This window comes from Homo sapiens, chromosome 11, assembly GCF_000001405.40.
Source record: "Homo sapiens chromosome 11, GRCh38.p14 Primary Assembly".
Taxonomy (NCBI): Eukaryota; Metazoa; Chordata; class Mammalia; order Primates; family Hominidae; genus Homo; species Homo sapiens.
Window position 1 is genome coordinate 105015254 of NC_000011.10, and position 23206 is coordinate 105038459.

Sequence of the window (23206 nt, forward strand, 5' to 3'; positions counted from 1 at the left end):
ACTATAAAATGGCAATAATAGCACAAACTTAACTGACTGGTTTTAAATATTCAGTCACAGAGAGTGCAAGAGATACCGATCACACAGTATTATTTTTAAAAAACAGTTTTTATTGATTACTTTTTGTTATTTTAGTAATCAATGAATTGAAGATGCAGTGATAATAAAAACGAATGGAATAATTTAGAGGCCAAATTCATCAAGAGCAGTTTTGGTCCTAGGCAAAGTGATGTGATGTTCTTACACATTTTATATAGGATACTGTTTTTCACTAGTTTTATTTAACAAAGACCAACTACACATGGTTGTTTATAATTATTAACCCACTTAACTTATTTTTGATTAGTGCTCTTCAATTTCTCCTATCTATTATCTAATGATTCTCCTGACTCCAGTCTACGACCAGTAAAGTCAGCCTGCCCGGCCAAAGAGGCAGCCATGGCTATGAATTTGACTTACTCCTCCCTGGCCAAATGCTTTTTAGTATCATAAAATAGACAAAAAAAAAAAAAATTTAAAAGCAAGCAATTCCTGCATTTTAGGAGTTTCAGTTAAATGTTGTGAGGTGAGATGTAAACCTTGGAGATAATTAAGCTAGTGGGAGAATCGAATAAAGAAACTCAACAGCAAGGAAGTACAAGTGAAGTAAAATACAGTAAACATTTGCTTCTTTTTCTTATGAACGTAAAAATCGTGCCTTAGAGTGATTAATGGAAAAATGAATAAGTATATTTTGAAAGACAGAAACACCATCTAAAACACTATCTGAAAGTTTAGATATTTTTAAAAAGGCAATAGGGAGCCAATGTATGTTGCTGAGTAAGAAAATTACATTAATAGATCCCTAGCATGTGAGAGGTGAGAGTTAACTAACTGACCACCTTTGCTAATGATGCTAACCTGCAGAAGAACCTGTGCCAGGCTAGCTTCATAAGAATTGTCTGCAGATCTTTAAAGGTTAATAAATGCCTACAGTCTGTTAAAGATTGAGCTATTCAGGGTTGGGAATGCAGTGGTAATCTGATTTTTAAATATGACTGCAGGGGGAGGCGCCAAGATGGCCGAATAGGAACAGCTCCAGTCTACAGCTCCCAGCGTGAGCGAGCAGAAGACGGGTGATTTCTGCATTTCCATCTGAGGTACCGGGTTCATCTCACTAAGGAGTGCCAGACAGTGGGCGCAGGTCAGTGGGTGCGTGCACCGTGTGCAAGCCGAAGCAGGGCGAGGCATTGCCTCACTCGGGAAGCGCAAGGGGTCAGGGAGTTCCCTTTCCTAGTCAAAGAAAGGGGTGACACACGGCACCTGGAAAATCGGGTCACTTCCACCCGAATACTGCGCTTTTCCAACCGGCTTAAAAAATGGCGCATCAGATTATATCCTGCACCTGGCTCGGAGGGTCCTACGCCCACGGAGTCTCGCTGATTGCTAGCACAGCAGTCTGAGATCAAACTGCAAGGCAGCAGCGAGGCTGGGGGAGGGGCGCCCACCATTGCCCAGGCTTGCTTAGGTAAACAAAGCAGCCAGGAAGCTCGAACTGGGTGGAGCCCACCACAGCTCAAGGAGGCCTGCCTGCCTCTGTAGGCTCCACCTCTGGGGGCAGGGCACAGACAAACAAAAAGACAGCAGTAACCTCTGCAGACTTAAATGTCCCTGTCTGACAGCTTTGAAGAGAGCAGTGGTTCTCCCAGCACGCAGCTGGAGATCTGAGAACGGGCAGACTGCCTCCTCAAGTGGGTCCCTGACTCCTGACCCCCCGAGCAGCCTAACTGGGAGGCACCCCCCAGCAGGGGCAGACTGACACCTCACACGGCCGGGTACTCCAACAGACCTGCAGCTGAGGGTCCTGTCTGTTAGAAGGAAAACTAACAAACAGAAAGGACATCCACACCAAAAACCCATCTGTACATCACCATCATCAAAGACCAAAAGTAGAAAAAACCACAAAGATGGGGAAAAAACAGAGCAGAAAAACTGGAAACTCTAAAAAGCAGAGCGACTCTCCTCCTCCAAAGGAACGCAGTTCCTCGCCAGCAACGGAACAAAGCTGGATGGAGAATGACTTTGACAAGCTGAGAGAAGAAGGCTTCAGATGATCAAATTACTCCGAGCTACGGGAGGACATTCAACCAAAGGCAAAGAAGTTGAAAACCTTGAAAAAAATTTAGAAGAATGTATAACTAGAATAACCAATACAGAGAAGTGCTTAAAGGAGCTGATGGAGCTGAAAACCAAGGCTCGAGAACTACGTGAAGAATGCAGAAGCCTCAGGAGCCGATGCGATCAACTGGAAGAAAGGGTATCAGCGATGGAAGATGAAGTGAATGAAATGAAGCAAGAAGGGAAGTTTAGAGAAAAAAGAATAAAAAGAAATGAGCAAAGCCTCCAAGAAATATGGGACTATGTGAAAAGACCAAATCTACGTCTGATTGGTGTACCTGAAAGTGACGGGGAGAATGGAACCAAGTTGGAAAACACTCTGCAGGATATTATCCAGGAGAACTTCCCCAATATAGCAAGGCAGGCCAACATTCAGATTCAGGAAATACAGAGAATGCCACAAAGATACTCCTCGAGAAGAGCAACTCCAAGACACATAATTGTCAGATTCACCAAAGTTGAAATGAAGGAAAAAATGTTAAGGGCAGCCAGAGAGAAAGGTCAGGTTACCCTCAAAGAGAAGCCCATCAGACTAACAGCAGATCTCTCGGCAGAAACTCTACAAGCCAGAAGAGAATGAGGGCCAATATTCAACATTCTTAAAGAAAAGAATTTTCAACCCAGAATTTCATATCCAGCCAAACTAAGCTTCATAAGTGAAGGAGAAATAAAATACTTTACAGACAAGCAAATGCTGAGAGATTTTGTCACCACCAGGCCTGCCCTAAAAGAGCTCCTGAAGGAAGCACTCAACATGGAAAGGAACAACCGGTACCAGCCGCTGCAAAATCATGCCAAAATGTAAAGACCATCGAGACTAGGAAGAAACTGCATCAACTAACGAGCAAAATAACCAGCTAACATCATAATGACAGGATCAAATTCACACATAACAATATTAACTTTAAATGTAAATGGACTAAATGCTCCAATTAAAAGACACAGACTGGCAAATTGGATAGAGTCAAGACCCACCAGTGTGCTGTATTCAGGAAACCCATCTCACATGCAGAGACACACATAGGCTCAAAATAAAAGGATGGAGGAAGATCTGCCAAGCAAATGGAAAACAAAAAAAGGCAGGGGTTGCAGTCCTAGTCTCTGATAAAACAGACTTTAAACCAACAAAGATCAAAAGAGACAAAGAAGGCCATTACATAATGGTAAAGGGATCAATTCAACAAGAAGAGCTAACTATCCTAAATATATATGCACCCAATACAGGAGCACCCAGATTCATAAAGCAAGTCCTGAGTGACCTACAAAGAGACTTAGACTCCCACACATTAATAATGGGAGACTTTAACACCCCACTGTCAACATTAGACAGATCAGCGAGACAGAAAGTCAACAAGGATACCCAGGAATTGAACTCAGCTCTGCACCAAGCGGACCTAATAGACATCTACAGAACTCTCCACCCCAAATCAACAGAATATACATTTTTTTCAGCACCACACCACACCTATTCCAAAATTGACCACATAGTTGGAAGTAAAGCACTCCTCAGCAAATGTAAAAGAACAGAAATTATAACAAACTATCTCTCAGACCACAGTGCAATCAAACGAGAACTCAGGATTAAGAATCTCACTCAAAACCACTCAACTACATGGAAACTGAACAACCTGCTCCTGAATGACTACTGGGTACATAATGAAATGAAGGCAGAAATAAAGATGTTCTTTGAAACCAACGAGAACAAAGATACAACATACCAGAATCTCTGGGATGCATTCAAAGCAGTGTGTAGAGGGAAATTTATAGCACTAAATGCCCACAAGAGAAAGCAGGAAAGATCCAAAATTGACACCCTAACATCACAATTAAAGGAACTAGAAAAGCAAGAGCAAACACATTCAAAAGCTAGCAGAAGGCAAGAAATAACTAAAATCAGAGCAGAACTGAAGGAAATAGAGACACAAAAAACCCTTCAAAAAATTAATGAATCCAGGAGCTGGTTTTTTGAAAGGATCAACAAAATTCATAGACCGCTAGCAAGACTAATAAAGAAAAAAAGAGAGAAGAATCAAATAGACGCAATAAAAAATGATAATGGGGATATCACCACCGATCCCACAGAAATACAAACTACCATCAGAGAATACTACAAACACCTCTACGCAAATAAACTAGAAAATCTAGAAGAAATGGATAAGTTTCTGGACACATACACTCTCCCAAGACTAAACCAGGAAGAAGTTGAATCTCTGAATGGACCAATAACAGGATCTGAAATTGTGGCAATAATCAAAAGCTTACCAACTAAAAAGAGTCCAGGACCAGATGGATTCACAGCCGAATTCTACCAGAGGTACAAGGAGGAACTGGTACCATTCCTTCTGAAACTATTCCAATCAATAGAAAAAGAGGGAATCCTCCCTAACTCATTTTATGAGGCCAGCATCATCCTGATACCAAAGCCGGGCAGAGACACAACCAAAAAAGAGAATTTTAGACCAATATCCTTGATGAACATTGATGCAAAAATCCTCAATAAAATACTGGCAAACCGAATCTAGCAGCACATCAAAAAGCTTATCCACCATGATCAAGGGGGCTTCATCCCTGGGATGCAAGGCTGGTTCAATATACGCAAATCAATAAATATAATCCAGCATATAAACAGAACCAAAGACAAAAACCACGTGATTATCTCAATAGATGCAGAAAAGTTCTTTGACAAAATTCAACAACGCTTCATGCTAAAAACTCTCAATAAATTAGGTATTGATGGGATGTATTTCAAAATAATAAGAGCTATCTATGACAAACCCACAGCCAATATCATACTGAATGGGCAAAAACTGGAAGCATTCCCTTTGAAAACTGGCACAAGACAGGGATGCCCTCTCTCACCACTCCTATTCAACATAGTGTTGGAAGTTCTGGCCAGGGCGATCAGGCAGGAGAAGAAAATAAAGGGTATTCAATTAGGAAAAGTGGAAGTCAAATTGTCCCTGTTTGCAGACGACATGATTGTATATCTAGAAAACCCCATTGTCTCAGCCCAAAATCTCCTTAAGCTGATAAGCAACTTCAGCAAAGTCTCAGGATACAAAATCAATGTACAAAAATCACAAGCATTCTTATACACCAACAACAGACAAACAGAGAGCCAAATCATGAGTGAACTCCCATTCACAATTGCTTCAAAGAGAATAAAATACCTAGGAATCCAACTTACAAGGGATGTGAAGGACCTCTTCAAGGAGAACTACAAACCACTGCTCAAGGAAATAAAAGAGGGTACAAACAAATGGAAGAACATTCCATGCTCATGGGTAGGAAGAATCAATATCGTGAAAAATGGCCATACTGCCCAAGATAATTTACAGATTCAATGCCATCGCCATCAAGCTACCAATGACTTTCTTCACAGAATTGGAAAAAACTACTTTACAGTTCATATGGAACCAAAAAAGAGCCCGCATTGCCACGTCAATCCTGAGCCAAAAGAACAAAGCTGGAGGCATCACACTACCTGACTTCAAACTATACTACAAAGCTACAGTAACCAAAACAGCATGGTACTGGTACCAACACAGAGATATAGATCAATGGAACAGAACAGAGCCCTCAGAAATAATGCCGCATATCTACAACTATCTGATCTTTGACAAACCTGAGACAAACAAGCAATGCGGAAAGGATTCCCTATTTAATAAATGGTGCTGGGAAAACTGGCTAGCCATATGTAGAAAGCTGAAACTGGATCCCTTCCTTACACCTTATACAAAAATTAATTCAAGATGGATTAAAGACTTAAAAGTTAGACCTAAAACCATAAAAACCCTAGAAGAAAACCTAGACATTACCATTCAGGACATAGGCATGGGCAAGGACTTCATGTCTAAAACACCAAAAGCAATGGCAACAGAAGCCAAAATTGACAAATGGGATCTAATTAAACTAAAGAGCTTCTACACAGCAAAAGAAACTACCGTCAGAGTGAACAGGCAACCTACAAAATGGGAGAAAATTTTCGCAACCTACTCGTCTGACAAAGGGCTAATATCCAGAATCTACAATGAACTCAAACAAATTTACAAGAAAAAAACAAACAACCCCATCAAAAAGTGGGCGAAGGACATGAACAGACACTTCTCAAAAGAAGACATTTATGCAGCCAAAAAACACATGAAAAAGTGCTCACCATCACTGGCCATCAGAGAAATGCAAATCAAAACCACAATGAGATACCATCTCACACGAGTTAGAATGGCAATCATTAAAAAGTCAGGAAACAACAGGTGCTGGAGAGGATGTGGAAAAATAGGAACACTTTTACACTGTTGGTGGGACTGTAAACTAGTTCAACCATTGTGGAAGTCAGTGTGGCGATTCCACAGGGATCTAGAACTAGAAATACCATTTGACCCAGCCATCCCTTTACTGGGTATATACCCAAAGGACTATAAATCATGCTGCTATAAAGACACATGCACACGTATGTTTATTGTGGCATTATTCACAATAGCAAAGACTTGGAACCAACCCAAATGTCCAACAATGATAGACTGGATTAAGAAAATGTGGCACATATACACCATGGAATATTATGCAGCCATAAAAAATGATGAGTTCATGTCCTTTGTAGGGACATGGATGAAATTGGAAATCATCATTCTCAGTAAACTATCACAAGAACAAAAAACCAAACACCGCATATTCTCACTCATAGGTGGGAACTGAACAATGAGAACACATGGACACAGGAAGGGGAACATCACACTCTGGAGCCTGTTGTGGGGTGGGGGGAGGGGGGAGGGATAGCATTGGGAGGTATACCTAATGCTAGATGACGAGTTAGTGGGTGCAGCCCACCAGCATGTCACATGTATACATATGTAACTAACCTGCACATTGTGCACATGTACCCTAAAACTTAAAGTATAATAATAATAAATAAATAAATTAAAGAAAAAAAAAGACTGCAGATTATTCATATATGTTATAAGGTTTAGAAAGCACTGATCTATTCCAGTTTCTTCCTTTTTCCAGTGAGGAGAATGAAACCAAAGACGCAATATGACCTGCTGGAATACGAGCTGCTTAAGTAGCCCAGGACTCCAACTCATAGGCTTTTTTAGCTTCTGTGTATAAGACAGTTGGCCTGAAAGTAGTGTGCAGTATGGACTGAAGGGTTAAGTTTTTGGGAGTGGGAAGACAGTTAAAAGTCTATGATAGCAACCTAAGATATATTACATTATAAGAGTTAGTACCAGGACTACATAGAAAGGTGGAAAAATGCAATCACTTTAAACAGACCAATAAGATAATTCAAGATAAGAGATGACAACACGTTGAGAACACAGAGGCTCTCAGATCTGATTGTGGGGAGAAGGTTCATAGTCTGGAGGATTAATTTGGAATCAAGAGGAAGCAGAGAAGATTTCAGAGTGCATTTAGAAATTTCCGGAGTTTTCTCACACAAATAACTTACTCTGTCTTTCCTTACTCTCTCTTTGATTACCAGAAGCTGAAAGAAAGGAATTAACCTTTTTCTGGCTTGAAAACATCTAGAGAACATACTCTCCTTCAGTGTCTCTACACAGTCTCAGGATTCAAACTACATACCACCAATAAGAGAAAGATTCAGCATGCACACTATTGGTTGATTTCCCTTTTGGTATTTCTGCCTGTCACATAGCAATAAATCAAGATTTTTCTAAGACCTGAGTACCCAGCTGCTAGTCAGAAAAGGGCCCAGACTCACCAGCCATAGCTAACAGCCTCTGTCTCTTTGTACAGCACTGGAAAGTGCCTCAGACTCAGAGATAAAATACACTAGGTACTTCCTTATTGCAGGGAGTGGGGACAAGTGATTACAGATTATGGGAAGTTGCTTCTGGGAACCTATAGTTTCATCATTGGGAAGTGCCCTGTAGTAAGCAAATTGGCTTTCTATTCTTGAACTCTAGATTCTTCCCTGGGGAAAAAAAATGCAAATGACAAAACATTGTTTTGTGGGTTGAAACCTCAGCCTGGTTTTCTTTTTCCTTTTCTCTCTCCATAGCCCCACATCTTCTTTTATTCATCCCTCTCTTCTGATCTGTCAGTTTTTCTACCTCTGCTCGTCTAAAAACACATGTCCTGAATGAGTAAAATCTAACTAGTTTCCTTGCATCTTCCCATAAGAATTAACCAAATATTTTGTATATCTTGGGTTTCTTTATTTTTCATTTCAATTTTTATTTGAGTTTCAGGGGTACATATGCAGGTTTGTTACAAGAGTATATTAGGTGATGCAGAGGTTTGTAGTACAATTTAACCTATTACCTAGGTAGTGAGAATAGCACCCAGTACATAGTTTTTCGGCTCTTGCCTTCTTCCTTCATTCCTCCCTCTGGTATTTCCCTGTGTCTGTTATTCCCGTCTTTATGTCCATGTGTACACAATATTTAGCTAGAACTTACAAGTGAGATTATGTGATATTTGGTTTTCTGTTTCTGCATTAATTTGCTTAGAATAATGGCCTCCAGTTGCATCCATGTTGCTGCAAAGGGCAGGGTTTCATTTTTATGGCTGTGTAACATTCCATAGTAGCAGTGTACCACATTTTTTTAAATCCAATCCACCATTGATGGACACCTGGGTTGATTCTATTATTTTGGCTACAGTGAATAGTGCTGCGACAAACATTTGAAAGCACATGTCTTTTTGATAGAACAGTACATTTTCCTTTGAGGATTCAGTCAGTAATGGGATGCTTGGACAAATGATAGTTCTTTTTTTAGTTATTTGGTAAATCTCCAAACTGCTTTTCAAAAAGATGGATGCATCACATTACTGGACTTCAAGCTATGCTAGAAGTCTACAGTAACCACAACAGCAAGGTATTCGTACAAAAAAAACAGACACAAAGCCCAATGGAACAGAATAGAGAACCCCAAAATAAAGCCACACACCTATAACCAACTGATACTCAACAAAGTCAACAACAACAGCAAAAAGAAACAAGGAAAGGATTGTTTATTCAATAAATGTATTTCTTGTTTAAACTGTGCTGAGGAATCATGATGGAGTCTTCTCCTCCCCATCTCCCTGTCATCTTACGCTTTGATTGGAGACAGTTCTGAAGGAATCCTCTTATCTACTTCCTGGAATGCTGTTCTTCAACTGACTAAAACTGCTTTAACAGTTAATTTTTACTTAGGGTGGCAATTCACTTCTCCTTTTTGATATTCTCTGAGCAAAGACTGATCACAGATGTAGTCTCAGGTTGTAGTAGAGTATGCATGATAACACAGAAGAGATATGCCCAGAGAAACAGTTAATAAAAGGTAAAAAAAAAAAAAAAGAGAGAGAGAGAGAGACTGTAATGTGTTCAACTATGAAGGTGTTTAAGAAGTCAGAAATTAACTCTCATTTAATCTGTTAAATATTAGAAAAAAACATATTTGCAAGTAAGGGGTAGTTCTTCGAATCCTCCCTAAATCTTAACATCCCTGAGTGCATGATTTCACCCCAAACTCGTTTTCTCTGCACCATGCCAGGACTTCACTGTGCACACCATGCATCCTAGAGTTTCTTCAGGGTGTCAGGCACCATCTGCCAAGCGCTTCATTTTGGATGGCTGTCTTATCTTTTCAAGAAGTCTGTGAACTACTGAGGGTTGATTCAAAACTTACTTTGTCTTAAATACTTTTGCAAAGGGTAGAAACATGCAAGTTCATGGATTTGTCAGTAGCAAACTGTGGGATTTGGGAAAAGTTCTTTATCACACTACACTGTCGCTGTCATAACTAGCTGTCTTCCCCCGTCTCTCCTGCTGAGCTCTAAATTATTTGAAGTCAGATACCTGCTGTAACTTATATCACATCCCCAAAGCAGAAAGCCCAGCAAACGATTTTTCTTTTTTTAAAAATGGCACAAAATAAATTTTTGTTCAAGAAAGTAATTAATAACATTGCTATGTTTGTAAGTCTGATTTTCTTTTTTAAATTTTTATATTTTATTTTACTTTAAGTTCTGGGAAAGAAAGGTGCCAATAGCCAGTTTGGGTCTGACAGATTAAGTCAAACACTCTAAATTCCTTAGTCACTCTAAGTTCCAGTCCCTGTTTCTTCAGTGTGGGAGAAAAATGAGGACAAGTTTTCATTTTTCTACCAGATTTATTATTTCAAAAAAGTTTATTATTCAGCAGACATAATTCCAAAAACCTTTACAGAAGGATCTCTTCACTTCCTATGAGAAAAAGAAATAATTAAAAAAAAAAACATAGGAAAGAATTTTGTTAAAGACATGCAAGTTATAAAGTTATACCACCAATGGGAACATACACAATTTTAAAAGGAAAGACCACATGCTATGTTTAAATATACCCTGCTGAGGTGAAGGAGAGAAACATCCAAAAGTGAGGGTTTGTAGTCTTACGGCCACTTCTAGGCCAATATCAGATGAATCTCAAAAGGGGTCTAAATGAAAAACTTTGGGAGAAGAGCAACGTGCTCTGCACTGACCAGAAGAAAGGCATTACTTCAGTATTTTCTGTATATGGCTTGATTATCCCTTATCCAAAATGCATGCTACCAGAAGTATTTCAAATTTCAGATATTTTTGTATATTGGAATTCAGCTGTATACTTACTGGTTTAGCATCCCTAATCCAAAAACCTATAATTTGAAATGTTTCAATAAACATTTCCTTTGAATATCATGTGGGCGCTCACACAGTGTTGGATTTTAGAGCATTTCAAAATTCAAATTTTTGGATTAAGGATTCTCAGCCTGTAAACCTAGAGTTCTTGACTCAAATGGACTTTCAGTACCCTTTCCTCAACCTTCCCACACTCCCGACCATACACATGTACCTGCCCACAGACATTCATACAGTTTCCTTATTTTAATGTCCTGGGAAGAGGTAGAAACATCTTGTCAAAGTCACTCTTTCAGTGGTGGGCATCTGCGCTCTACCATCTGGCTGCTCAAATGAAAATCGAACCTAAAAGAGTAAGGAAAGTCTGTAGCCCTTTTTTTTGCTGAGTTTTTTTTTTCAAGAATTTCTTGAGTTATGCCAAAAAACTACAACAAATATAGCAAAATAAGTGACAAAAACAAAAAGTACTTCCATCTGCAACAAGTATAACCATATATGTATGTAAGCATTGAATGACCCTCCTCAGGGCATTTTAAATCTGCTGCTGGATCTAATAGCCATGAGAGACACAGGTAAATTAGAGTCCATTCATTTGTCTCTGCAGGGCAGGAGCGGGGTGAAACTAAATGATTGTTTTCTCAAGGCTGTGGGTCTTAATAGATTGGATTAGGCTCCTGGGTTTGTCCACTCTCCAAAGAACTCCAAAACTCTTTTGGAAAGAAGAGCATTATTGGAAGATAAACTTGTCTGGATCTGCTTTCTATGCTTCCAATTGCAATAGCCAAGCATTCAGGGAAGTAGAGTGAAAATAGCATCCACTAGCATCTTACCTTGCGGAAAATTTCCTCCACATCACAGGAACAGGCATATTCTTGCATATGTTCAATGAGTCTTCCAATAAAAACAGAGCCCATTGTGGGATGTCTCCAAGAAACATTATCTATGGATAAAGCACATTTCAAATCTCAAGACTGGCTCTTGCCTGAAGAAAGAGAAGAAACCCTAGTATTTATACTCCAGCTGAGGGATGTTTGAAATCATAAATTTAGTAGCAAATAAGGAAAAGGCGGAATGGGGTAGAGGGGAGTGATTGGGATTTGGAAATGAAATATCTAAATGTGCATTCCCAAAGTGGTATTACTGACTGTGATTTAAGTTAATTATGCATTCTGATATTTAATAGACTCAGCTAGCTATACAGGGGATGGTAATAACTCCATACACAAGAGGTATCTGAGGTCACGCAAGTGTTTGAGATAACCCAGGATATGCAATACTCAGTCTACATGGGGTAATTATATTATCAAATTCTCAATTTATGTACTTCATAAAAGATTAATCGAAATTAAATAACATTGACAGTAAGATATTTACACACAAAAAGTTAACTATAAAAATCATAAAACAGAACAAAAGTAGAAATCTAGGAGGAGTAGATAAGGAAATAAGCACAGTATATTGGAGGAAAAAAGTTCTTATGAAGAAGAGAAATATTAAAGAAAAATATTAATTTATTACATAGTAGACACAGAAGTAATGAAGGCATAAAATTATGCAAAGGAAGTCATAAGAGAAAAGCAGCAGCAATAGCTCTGTATGTAATGACAGACACATTCTTTAATGACACATTTTAGCCAGTTCTAATGGTCATAAAGTATATATTGATAATAAAATTCTATTTAGAAACCCAGCTATCTCAGCTAAATGAAGCCTTTAACTGAGACTTGTTCTAGTAAAAGGAAGTAAGTGAAAGATATCGTGGAGACAGATATCTTTGCAAATGTTTTGTGAAATTAAGGAAGTAGATAATTATTTTTCTTCAGGAGATCACTATGATGTGGTTGGGATTGGCACAGCAGAATGTGGAGATAGGTTTAACATGGAAGTTATAGATAACTGAATTGGAGTTTCTGACAGTCATCTAGAAGGTAGGAGTAAGGAAAGTGAAAGAAAAGAAAGACACATAAATCAGCCAGATTGATAATGAGAAGCCAGAGGCCTACAAAGAGCTACTTAGAGAGCGGTGAATGTCATGTGGAAGGCTGGGATCAAAGGATACTAACGAACAGTTCTGTCTAATATTAAACTCTGCTATACGTACTCAGGCTGAAAATATATGGTGTTTTTGGGTAGTGTCATTGTTTCTGATCATTGGGAAAAAAAAATTATTGAGTTCTACATCAGGGCATGTTCAACCCAATGTAGAACCAAGCTTCTTCTGAAAGAAGATATCTCATTTTAGAAAATATTTTAGAAAACTTAACTATTTGAGCAGAGACAGGGCCTTTGGGCCAGAGGTGACCAAGAGAATGCAAGTCCTCTCAGGAAACTGCCAAAGGTGGTGAATGAAAGGATTTAAATAATTTTTATTTAAACCTTGCTTAGAAAAGTAACTGAATTAAGTTATCAAATATATACATTTTAAATAATAGCAGTTTTTTAATGTGTGCTTTATTTTGTGTCGTGCCCAATATTTCAAATATATTAATTTATTAAATCCTTAGAAAAATAATATTTATATTCACATATTAGTCAGCAATTCAAGGAAAGCCCGAGGAGGAACTAGTGGAACTGTTTTACAAAATACTAAATGTCTGGGTCAGTCAATAATAGCAAGATTCTTACTCCAAAGCATACGTTTAGAAAAATTCAAATATATTCTGTCTCACACACTTCATGCTTCTAGGTAAAACCCACTTTAATTTAGGGCCCCAAAGTGTCTCGCTTGCTGTTCTGCTTTTCAGAATCTTGCTCTTACTCTTCTCCTATAAATATTTGATGTCTGGGCAAATTGGACTAATGAATGATCTCAACATGGCAGAATTTTCTATGCAGAGTCAGATTCTAATGTACTACAGCACATACCGTCTTCCATTTAATTCTCTGCTATCGCTCAAAGTTCCAAAAATATTTTGAAACATAGATGAATTCTTTAATTAGTAATGCATTGAACAGATATGCAAAATTGCTCTCTTGGATAAAGGGAATTCTGTGTATAACTTGGAACAAAGCTTGAGTTGGTCTTGAGTTGTTAATCACCACCTCTAGTGGGTTATTGTCACTTTTTCTATTGATAGCCCCAACAAAGATGTCCTGTGTAGAAACCTGTTACCTGGTGTGGAAGAGCAGAAAGCGATAAAATCCTTCTCTATGTGGGCTTTCTTAATAGCATCATCCTCAAACTCTTCTGTAGTTGGTAAAGATAGGTTTCCAGAAACTCCTACTGAATCTTTAAACCACACCACACCAGGGCTGTCTGGAAAGACACAGTTTGATTTGTTACTACTACCAATGGCTGAGAAGATGTTTTCCTCCTAGCCTCTGTTCAATGATATTTATTAATGTGTTTGCTCTATCATTAATTCACATGCAAATAGACACATGCATTTCAGTTACAATCTTTTCAACAATGTTTATCTTTTCTAACCATCAAACAAATTGTAAAAATTTCCAAACATCAAAATCTCAAGCTTAAATATGGAATAAATATCTACCAACCAGCCATTCAATTCACAGAAGCTGCATTCTTGAATACTGACAGTATGTGTTCTTTGACATTAAAAGACAAACCAAAAGAAACCAAAAATTCTTGGATGCATACAGAGTAGGATAGTATTTGATTGTCTGGTGTTCTCAAAGGCATCAGCACTCACCACCACGGCAGGCCTGGATGATGATCACCTTCGGTTTGTCCTTCAAACTTGGGCAGTTCTTGGTATTCAACATGTTAAAGATTGCATTGAGTTGTAGTATATCTGGGACTTGCTCAGAGTGTTTCTTCCCACAAATGCCTTCCCGAATACCATGAGACATGAACACCAGGAACGTGCTGTCAGAGGTCTTGTGCTCTGGGCGGTGTGCAAATGCCTCCAGCTCTGTAGTCATGTCCTGAAAGACACCATATCACTGATTTTCGACTATGTAATTAACTATCATGGTACCTTGGAAAGTCAATAAATAAATACTTAAGGAGTTTCTTAAGGAATTCCGTGACAAACAACAGGGTGCCAAAAAAAAATTTAGTCTTAGTTTCAAGAAAGGTGAAGGAAAGTGTTATAGGAAGTCATCCAGAGTTATCTTGTAGAGAGACAGTGGCATTACTGAGTCAATAAAACATTTCCCAATTCAGTTATACCAGGCTTGTGCTGCATGACTCTTATGTTACAAAGGACCATGTAGTATCCAGCACTCTCTCATGGCAAGTTTGTATTTTAGATTATCAAGAGATTACATTTCTTGGTCTTACAACCAAGCTTTCTAATATTATTCAGTTATACGAAGGGCATAACCATTGTTTCTGTTGTATAATAGAACTTACCGAAGCAGTGAGATTTTTTTTCACATCTACGCTGTACCCCAGATTTTGTAGCAGCATTGTCATGCCTGTGATGTCAACCTCAGCTCCAGTTCTTCTAGGAATACTGTCAAATTCTTCATTGCAGATAATGAGAGCAAGACGTGTGCGGCTTGACTTGTCCATTATTGGATAAATCTGTAGGAAATGCAATTTGAATGAACAGCCTTGTTCTTTCCAATTAAATATTTCCCTTCCTGGTTTATGACAGCTTCCCCTTCCTTAGTCCTATCAAGATACCAAACCCCATGAACCATACATTGAAAAGGGGGAACAGAATTGAATGCTGCTTCAAGAGTATGCATGGACATTGCAAATGCCCAGATGGCAGCTGAGCTTCTGACTTCGTTGTTCTTGATAGGTAGGATTTTGAAAGATGCACAAGCTTTGAAGCAAAAATGACTGAATTCTAAAACTGATTGTTCCAATTTCTGATTGTTTTTCTTTGGGAAAAATATTTAACAATCCCGTCTCAGCTTCTTGATCTCTAAAATGGGTTGTGTTTAAGGTTAAAAATTATATATTATCATGTGCAAAATGCTTAGAACAATGCCCATTCTTAATAAGCATTCAATAGCTGTCATCACTGATGTTATTTACCCCGGAAGTGGATCCAATTTGGACCTCTTTCTATAAACCTGGGATTCTAGGATATAGAAATCCTTTATGTAAGGGGAGCAGAAGTATGATTCTCCAGAACTGCTCAATGAGGTTGGCTCTAAGAATAAGCCACTGCATTTCAGAACTGCCTGAAGTGTTTCTTTCACCCCACTCTATCCTTGGGTTCTGAGCATGGCACCTCTGCCGACTTTTGTTTCCATATCCTTTGAGCTTCTTCTAGGGAGCAAAGCTTGACATTCCCTTCTGAGCCTGAGGATGTGGGCATAGCTGGGTTGTCCTGCACTGCCTGAGGAGCTGCAAGAGACAAAGAACATCATGAACAGTGGCATCCCTGTTTGTTCCACTTTGTGTTTGTTACAGCCTCACCTATGGATGAAGCCACAGAAGAGGAAATGCACTCTGAGGAGGACAATCCTGATCTACATCATTAACACAGCTGAGTGAGTTTGCTCCTAATGGAGCACATTTCAAGCAAGAGATTTCCAGGTATGCATTACAAGTATCTTCTTTCATATTTCAGGATCAGCCTTTCTACAAGCATTTTAGATACTAACATAGAAAGGGAAAATTTAAAGTCTATGCCTGATAAAACACTCAGAAAACAAAAAATGTGTGAGATAAAATAGTTAAGAATATAAACTTTTTTCAAAATATTCAAACCCTAGGATAAAATTTAATGGGATCAGGTCTTAATTTAATCTACTAAAATATTTTTTAAAATACATGTTTATCTTTTTATTTATTTACTTAATATACATGGTAGTAAGCACTAGGAATATTTTTTAATGAATCTTTGTCCTGTCCTTCAGGATCTCTTCCTTCTATGTATACATATGAAAGGACATGAATATTGAATATATGAAGTAGAATGAAGATATAATGATAAATGCTAAAATCAAGGTACACACTAGATGGATTTATAGCACTAAACATTCATTGCACAGACACTTGAGGAAATGTTTTCACAGAGTTTATGTGAGAAAATCCTTGAGCCTTTTATTTCATCACAGGTTCAACACAATCCAACAATGTGATGTCCTTGTTAAAGAAATTAATGTAACCTTTGTTTTAAAATAGAAATAAGTTTTCTAGATGTGTGGAGGATCTTTTAGAAGCTATTAAGGCAAAAAATAATATTTAATTTTAAAAACAAATTTGAAAAATTGTTATACAATCAGTTAGATAAACAAAGGCAGCATGAAATGTGCTGATGTGGAGAAGAACGAATTAGAATAGATATATTGGAAAAAATTATAGAATAATCATTTGTTGGATAAAATGTTGGATTTCTTCATAAAGAAGTGTGAAAACAATAGAAAAAAACTAGAAGTAGTTAGGTTATTTTTGAGCTATTTTTTCATAGTAGAGAATACAGTATTTCTTTATATATTGAATATCCCATGCTGTGAAACATTTAAGAAAATATTCATGATACCCAACCTTAATAAATTCAGTAGAGTAATATCTGAACTTGATAAATAATTTGCATTCCTAGCCTCTACATTGCTTTCAGATATAAGTTTAAGAGTGCACTATGGGAATAGGGGTTCTTTAATAAAATAATAGAAGTAGAAATAGAGAGATGGTTCCAAATTTGAGAAAAGCCTGCATAAAACTTGGCCATGGGTTGAATGTTAGAGGTGCATGAGAAGGAAGGGTCCCATATGAGTTTCAAGTTCCTGGTTTGAACAACTGGTGACGGTGGCACCAATAACCAAGTTACACAAAACCGGAAGAGAAGCAGGGTGTGGAAGTATAGCATTTTCAGCTCTGGGAAAGTTTAGAATAAGGTGTCTCTGGGAGATGGGAGTGAATATTTCAGTAGGCTTAAATAATGAAGTTTGGTACTTATTTGGGTAATCAGGATTTGAGACACAGATTCAGAATTTTTAATATAAATGTGGATAATGAAGCTGTGGAAACAGTTTCTACAAAAGCAGAATAGATTACAAAAAGAAAATTATATGACCAATCTATGAGAATTCTCCATAGCCCATTTACCCACGTTTGATCCTACAAAATTAATGTCAAGGAAGATGTGGGTCAAAGAATGCTCTTCCTTTAAAAACAGCATTACCTGGAAAGGAAGAAAGTACTCCTTGAGAGTCTTGCATATTAAGGTAATTTCCAGATGTTTGATCTATGAAAAGATAAAGGGTATTGAAGTAGTCACTTATCATCTCTGGAAAACTTTACCCCAATCTGTAAAACACTCCCCACTAAAAATTTCTCCCATAACACTGACTGACTGACTGACATTAAATAATGTTAAAGATGTTCTTTAATTTAGAGAGTGGTGGGAGGTAGAAAATGAAAGAGGCATTGGTAGAAAAATACGTGTTTATTACACATAGATGAAAACAGAAACATCTGCAATGTCTGCTTAGACAGGCATAAGCTTTCCCTAACCCTTAGAACAGAAGGCTTTTGCTTTCAAAGAACATCTCCCTCTGAAGTGGCTTTAGGAAGTGCCACAGACATCAATGACTGGGAATCCACCAGAACTCTCATCCTCACCACGTGGTAGGTCCAAGTGGTCATGAGATTTGGCCAGCTCAGTTCCTGAGCCCTGTATTGGGCCTGAGGAGGGTTGCAAGTGGAGGATTTCCAGGCCTCACAGCATGACCCACAGCCTGGTAACAGGCAACCAGGTGATCTTACTCAAAGAAAATACAAGGAGGCAACTGGAGGAATGAGCCCATTAGAAATCTTCACTTTTCTATACGTTCAATGTGTTCTCTGAGTGTATCGCCATCATTGAAATATATTTTATTCTTTTGGGAGGGTAAAATTTTGGAGAAAAGTTATAAAAAGTATTTGATTATAAACCTTAAAGCTTCATGTGACTTTACAACTACATAAGTGCCTACAGACCCCTTGCACTCAGCAAAAATAAATCCACAGGTAAATATTTTGCCTTGCCAGGAACACTGGAAAACACAGCATGAAGCTTTTCAGATGGTTCTCAAGAGCTTCAGTAAAGGAGCTACCACATACTCAGAACAGGAAATGAGCTTTAATCAGAAGAGTGCCACTGAGGATTAAGGAAAAGAATCAAAGGAGAGTCAAGGGACATGCAATAGGGACCCTGCTACAGAAATATGGCCCTGAAGCCAGAAATAAGAAAGTTTTCTTCCAATTAACATGACTAGTAAAGAAATCAAATGTTAGGCACGAAGACAGGCCCTAGGTGAACTTGAGTGTAAGTCACTGACCCTTACCTGCTGAGAGTCCCAGCGTCCCTGCCAGGTAACTGTCTTCTTCACAAATGTATGTGATGCAAATTTGGCATGCCTGTGCCCCTTTCGGAATAACGGAGTCAATCAAAGCTCGGGTCTTATCCATAACTGTAGCATTTTCACGTTTTACTTTCTCCATCTCTTCCTTGTTCAGCACCCTTGTCTGTAATAATTCATCCAGTAAGCCATTTATTGTACCTTCACCCATGGAACGGATAAACAGCTTTCTCTTCTCCTTCAGGACCTTGTCTGTTTAGAGCACAAGGATTTCTCACATCATGAAAACAGCCTCATATTCCTCTCATGTAATCAACAGAAAGTGACCTCATTTAGATTTCATCAGTGAAATGTCCCCCTCCTCACAGTTGGGTAATCCCTCTTCTTACTGTATTGCTGTCCTACTTGTTTCCCTCAATAGTCTCCATACATGTGCATGGAGTGACCTGAAGACTGAGTTTACCATTTCCACATCAGTCCCTGGAAAGCAGAGATCATCCTCTTATGTCGCATGTTTATTTAACTCTGGTTAATAAAGTAATGAAGCAGAAATAGCCCATTTCATTTAGGAACCACTGCTGCTAGTACTCCTCCTGTGCCAATTCTGTACCCTCTGTCAGACTTTCAACATGTAAGTAAGAGTTTAATTAAGATTGCAAAATGACATCAGGCTTCCCCTAAAGCCTCAGTTCCTTTCTGGGCTTGCCTTTCCTTTCTAAAGTCTGCAAGAATCTTCTAGTTCCTTCTCTCCTCCCTCTCCCCCCTTTTCCTTGCTTCTACTCAAGTAAACTTCCACAGATGCTAATTATGGCTTCCAGAAGAGCCAGCCCCTTCCAAAACTCTTTCTTCCCAGGGACCTGTTCTTGGAACAGTAAAAGACTCACCGGCCATGGCTTTTCTCTCCTCCCTTCTTGTGTGACTGAAACTGAAAGTATGCTTCGCCTTCCTTTTTGGCAGGGCCTGTACATGTATTGGGAAATACTCACTGTGCATGCATATGCATGTCTTTATTTTTCTTCCCATTAAAGAATCAGAACTGTAGCCTGCATCAGGTAGTGTATCCATGGGAAATTTTCTTCACCAGCCCTTGGATAGATCAGGGTAGGAGGGGAATGGGGCTTGGAGAGTAAGACAGGATTGAAAAAGTATGTGTACAATTAAATTCACACAGTGAAGAGTTTCTCAATCATTAGAAAGCTTGACGGAGAAAAGTAACACAACCTTTGGAGTATGTGAACCACTGTTCCCCTGACCCCACCTCATAGCTCTTGGGAAAGTTGTGGGTAATGTATGTCCCTGTGAAACATTTTTGCTTTAAGAAATAGAAACATTTTTCACCAGAATTAAAGCTTTTCTTATTTAATGTCCTTCTTTTCACATTGCTTTTTTCTTTCTGTTTTTTTTTTTTTCTGATACAGGGTATCATTCTGTCGTGCAGGCCGGAATGCAGTTATTTGACCTTGGCTCACTGCAGCCTCCACTTCCCAGGCTCAGATGATTCTTCCAACTCAGCCTCCCGAGTAGCTGCAATTACTGGCACATGCCACCATGGCCAGCTAATATTTGTATCTCTTGTAAAGACAGGGTCTCCTTGTGTTTCCTAGGCTTGTCTTCAGCTCCCAGGCTCAAGCAATGTGCCCACCTTGGTCTCCCAAATTGCTAGGATTACAGGCATGAGCCACCCACCCATCCTGGAGGGTTTATTTTTGAGGGAAATTGCATTGTAGAGGCCCAGAGCATAGGCTCTGGAATGAGAATGTCGAACTTAGCATTTTAAACTTCCCTTCCTTGGCAAGATAATGAACTTCCCTATGCATTGGTTCCTCTGTATGTGAAATAATTTTATTAATAGTATGTACCTACACAGTTTTGAGCATTAAGTGAGAGAAAATGTGGAAAATGCATGGAACATAGCCTGGCAAATGGTAAGCAAATAATGAGTGATATTATTATAATTAATACAAATGTTTAAGGTTAGAAAAATAATCAAGGATGATTATTTGCAGATTATTTAGCTAAGTTTATCTTTTGTTAGAATCCTCAAGCAGTGCATCTAGTCATTCATTTAGCAAACATATACGGACGACATTGCTCTAGGTGCCAGAGGTTCAGTCAAAACATATCATGGTCCTTTCCCCTTTGGTCTCACATTCAAGAGGGAAAGACAAACATGAAGGCTGGTGATATGGTCTGTCTCTGTTTCCCTACTCAAATCTCACCTTGAATTGTAATAATCCTCATGTGTTATGGGAGGTATCTGGTGGGATGTAATTGAATCATGGGTGCTGTTTTTTTTCCATGCTGTTCTCTTGATAATGAATGTCTCATGAGATCCGATGGTTTTATAAAAGGGAATTCCTCTGCTCATACCCTCTTGCCTGCACCCATGTAAGACGTGTCCTTGCTCCTCTTTTGCCTTTTGCTATGATTCTGAGGCCTCCCCAGCCATGTGGAACTGTGAGTCTATTAAATATCTTTTTTGTTCTATATAATTACCCAGCCTTGAGTATGTCTTTATTAGCAGTGTGAGAAATGACTAATGCAGTAAATTTATACTGAGTAATGGAGTGCTGCTGTAAAGATCTCCAAAAATGTGGAAGCGATGTTGGAACTGGGTAAAATGCAGAGGTTGGAACAGTTCTTAGGGCTTAGAGAAAGATAGGAAAATAGAATCTGGAACTTTCTAGAGACTTGTTGAATGGCTTTGACTAAATGCTGCTCATCTCGAATGAAGATAGGAACTTGTTGGGAAGTGGAATAAAAGTGACTGTTGCTGCGTTTTAGTGAAGAGAGTGGTGGCATCTTGCCCCTGCCCTAGAGATCTGTGGAACTTTGAACTTGAGAGAGATGATTTAGGGCATCTGGCAGAAGAAATTTCTAAGCAGCAAAGCATTCCAGAAGTGATTTGGGTGCTGTTAAAAGCATTCATTTTTATGTATTTGCAAAGATATGGTTTGGAATTGGAACTTATGTTTAAAAGGGAAGCAGAGCATAAAAGTTTGAAACATTCGCAGCCAGATGATGTGCTGGGAAAGCAAAACCCACTTTCTAAGGAGAAATTCAAGCCAACTGTAGAAATTTGCAGAAGTAACGAGGAGCCAAATGTTAATCTCTAAGACATTAATCTCCAAGACAATGGGGAATATGTCTCCAGAGTATGTCAGAGACCTTCCAGGCAGCCCCTCCTATCACAGGACTGGAGACCTAAGAGGGAAAAAAATGTTTTCATGAGGTAAGCCGAGGGCCCTTCTGCTGTATGCAGCCTAAAGGCTTAGTGCCCTTCTTCCCGGGCCACTGAAGCCATGGCTAAAAGGGGCCAAGAAATAGCTTGGGCTGTGACTTCAAAGGGTGCAAGCCCCAAGCCTTGGCAGCTTCCATGTGGTGTGGAGCCTGTAGGGGCACAGAAGTCAAGAATTGAGGTTTGGGAACCTCTGTCTAGATTTCAGAGGATGTATGGAAATGCTTGTATGTCCAGGCAGAAGTTTGCTGCAGGGGTGGGACCCTCATGAAGAACTTCTACTAGGGCAATGCAGAAGGGAAATGTGGGGTGTGAGCTCCCACACAGAGTCCTCACTGGGGCACTGCCTAGTGGAGCCATGAGAAAAGGGCCACCATCCTCCAGATCCTAAAATGGTAGATCCACAAACGGCTTGCACCATGCACCTGGAATACTCAGGCACTCAATGCCAACCCATGAAAGCAGCTAGGAGGGATGCTGTACACTGCAAAGCCACGAGGGTGGAGCTGCCCAAGGCCATGGGACCCCGACTCTTGCATCAGCATGACCGAGATATGAGACATGGAGTCAAAGATCATTTTGAAGCTTTAAGATTTGGCTGCCCTACTGGATATTGGACTCGCATGGGGAATGTAGCCCCTTCCTTTGGCCAATTTCTCCCATTTGGAATGGGTGTATTTACCCAATGCCTGTATCCCCGTTGTATCTAGGAAGTAACTAACTTGCTTTTGATTTTACAGGCTCATAGGTGGAAGGGACTTGCCTTGTCTTAGAGAAGACTTTGGACTTGGACTTTTGGGTTAATGCTGGAATGAGTGAAGACTTTGAGGAACAGTTGGAAGGCAGGATTGGTTTTGAAATGTGAGCACATGACATTTAGGAGAGGCCAGGGGCAGAATGACAGAGTTTGGCTCTGTGTCCCCACCAAAACCTCACCTTAAATTGTAATAATCCCCTGGTGTCATGGGAGGCACCTGGTGGGAGGTAATTGAATCATGG

General features: G+C 39.2%; 2 protein-coding genes and 1 long non-coding RNA gene across 19 annotated transcripts in view, besides 1 other annotated feature; 1 reads left to right on the forward strand and 2 right to left on the reverse strand.

Annotated features, from left to right (window-relative positions):
* The window catches only part of CASP5 (caspase 5), a 28926-nt gene extending 21011 nt beyond the window's left edge, over positions 1 to 7915 (reverse strand). For all 6 annotated transcript variants that reach the window (NR_036562.3, NR_024239.3, NM_001136110.3 and 3 more), the window contains exon 1: positions 7877 to 7915. Coding sequence is in view for 4 of the 6 variants with exons in the window: in NM_001136110.3 (NP_001129582.1) it covers positions 7877 to 7883 (7 nt within the window). In the remaining 2 variants the exon portion in view is untranslated. The remainder of the gene's footprint in view (positions 1 to 7876) is intronic.
* On the forward strand, positions 1144 to 20428 carry LOC124902742 (uncharacterized). Its single transcript, XR_007062869.1, has 3 exons — positions 1144 to 1183; positions 16094 to 16219; positions 20388 to 20428. It is a non-coding gene; the product is annotated as an uncharacterized LOC124902742 (long non-coding RNA).
* On the reverse strand, positions 10190 to 21433 carry CASP1 (caspase 1). 12 transcript variants are annotated; one of them, XM_017018394.2, is made up of 11 exons: positions 21189 to 21430; positions 19854 to 19929; positions 18955 to 19135; positions 17811 to 17873; positions 15912 to 16027; positions 15077 to 15250; positions 14412 to 14646; positions 13871 to 14014; positions 11589 to 11698; positions 10973 to 11103; positions 10190 to 10347 (listed from the first exon to the last, which is right to left on the reverse strand). In XM_017018394.2, exons 1-10 carry the CDS (start codon positions 21335 to 21337, stop codon positions 11005 to 11007), a joined length of 1347 nt encoding a protein of 448 aa, XP_016873883.2. In that variant the 5' UTR covers positions 21338 to 21430; the 3' UTR covers positions 10190 to 10347; positions 10973 to 11004. The 12 variants fall into 12 exon arrangements, with proteins under 12 accessions (XP_016873883.2, XP_016873884.2, NP_150634.1 ...); XM_017018395.2 differs by lacking the exon at positions 17811 to 17873 and having other exon boundaries at positions 21189 to 21433; NM_033292.4 differs by lacking the exon at positions 21189 to 21430 and having other exon boundaries at positions 18955 to 19221; positions 19854 to 19891.
* Positions 19970 to 20019: an enhancer, noted in NCBI's record as "active region_5460". NCBI's record gives its function as "activates an Ori minimal core promoter by ATAC-STARR-seq in GM12878 lymphoblastoid cells {active_cell/tissue: GM12878}" and the evidence as "EXISTENCE:reporter gene assay evidence [ECO:0000049][PMID:35858748]".

What these genes read in the sequence shown, in the direction of transcription:
- CASP1 (XM_017018394.2), bottom strand. Translation starts at nt 21,337, where the DNA reads ATGAGCAGAGGAATTCCCTTTTATAAAACCATCGGATCTCATGAGACA. An exon ending in TTTCTGCTCTTCCACACCAG is followed by an intron (nt 11,699 to 13,870) that starts GTAACAGGTTTC and finishes CTTTATCCATAG; the next exon opens with ATAATGTTTCTTGGAGACAT. An exon ending in TGGAGGAAATTTTCCGCAAG is followed by an intron (nt 11,104 to 11,588) that starts GTAAGATGCTAG and finishes TTACTCTTTTAG; the next exon opens with GTTCGATTTTCATTTGAGCA.